We start from the raw sequence: 1,344 nt of genomic DNA on the forward strand, positions 1-1,344 counted from the left end.
GCTACCGCCAAATGACACTAAGCTAATGGAAAATAGTTTTTCAGTAACGTTACTGTTCATGAATGACTGCTCCCTCTCATCTCAATGGGTGTGGATTGTATTTCCCCACCACTCCATGGCCAAATGTCTTTCTTTGGCCAATGTGTTCCAGTGCCAGGTTTCATTCCAAGCCAATGCTTTAAGAGATTGTGCCGCTTTTCTATTGCCCGTGATTGACACCAATGTGCTAGAGATAGATCTATCATCCTTGGGCCCAAGGAGAAGACAACTTGGAGTACAATTGCAGCCTAAAAATAATGACTATGTAATAGAAGTAAGAAATACATGTTTTGTTGTCATAGCCATTGATTTTACGGAGTCAACAGTTACTGTACCTTACCATAGCCTATACTGACCAATAAACTGAAAATTTCCTGTGTTAGTCCATTTGAGCTATTATAAAGGAATACCTGAGGCTGGGTAATTTATAAAGGAAAGAGGTAATTGGCTCATCGTTCTGCAGGCTGTACAAGCATGGTGCTGGCATCTGCTCAGCTTCTGTAGAGGCCTCAGGGAGCTTTTACTCATGACGGAGGCTAAGTGGGAGCAGACAGTCAGTCACATGGCAAGAAAAGTAGTGAGAGAGAGAGAGGGGAGGTGCCACAAACTTTTAAACAACGAGATCTATCACTTCTTGGCCTTTTAGCTAAGATCAAGTGTAGTATCTGTTTTTATCAGTTTAATATATGATACATCTTCTATCCAAGGACAATATATTAAATGGATTTTTGGAGCAGAGAGATGGAATAGAAGCTTGCTCCATCCACTCCATGCATCGACCTGGTATTGCAGTACCTCCAGGAACAGTGCACCCCCTCGAGGTATTAAAAAAATAAAATAAAATAAACAACCAGATCTCAGGTGAACTCAGAGCGAGAACTCACTCATCACCAAGGGGATGACGCAAAGCCATTCATAAGGGATCCATCCCAATGACCTAAACACCTCCCACCATGTCCTGTCGGTAACACTGGGAATTCCATTTCAACATGAGGTTTGGAAGGGACAAACATCCAAACCATGCTACCTCTCTACTCAAACATAAAACATCATATTTAGAAAAGTCATTATTGTTGTGGCATAACTATATTCTACATTGATTTGAAAAGGCCCCTAATTATAGCCAGCAATCATATGATGAGATTAAATTGAATTGATGAACAGATTACATAACAAAGGGGACAAAACATGTTTTGTGAAAACACACTTTCAATATTGAACCTAGGCCGGGTGTGGTGGCTCACGTCTGTAATCCCAGCACTTTGGGAAGCTGAGGCAGGCGAATCACTTGAGGTCAGGAGTTCA

At 41.4% G+C, this 1,344-nt stretch overlaps 1 pseudogene; it reads left to right on the forward strand.

The window, feature by feature from the left end:
- On the forward strand, positions 666-853 carry RNU2-3P (RNA, U2 small nuclear 3, pseudogene; annotated as a pseudogene).

Source organism: Homo sapiens, chromosome 15 (assembly GCF_000001405.40).
Source record: "Homo sapiens chromosome 15, GRCh38.p14 Primary Assembly".
Taxonomy (NCBI): domain Eukaryota; kingdom Metazoa; phylum Chordata; class Mammalia; order Primates; family Hominidae; genus Homo; species Homo sapiens.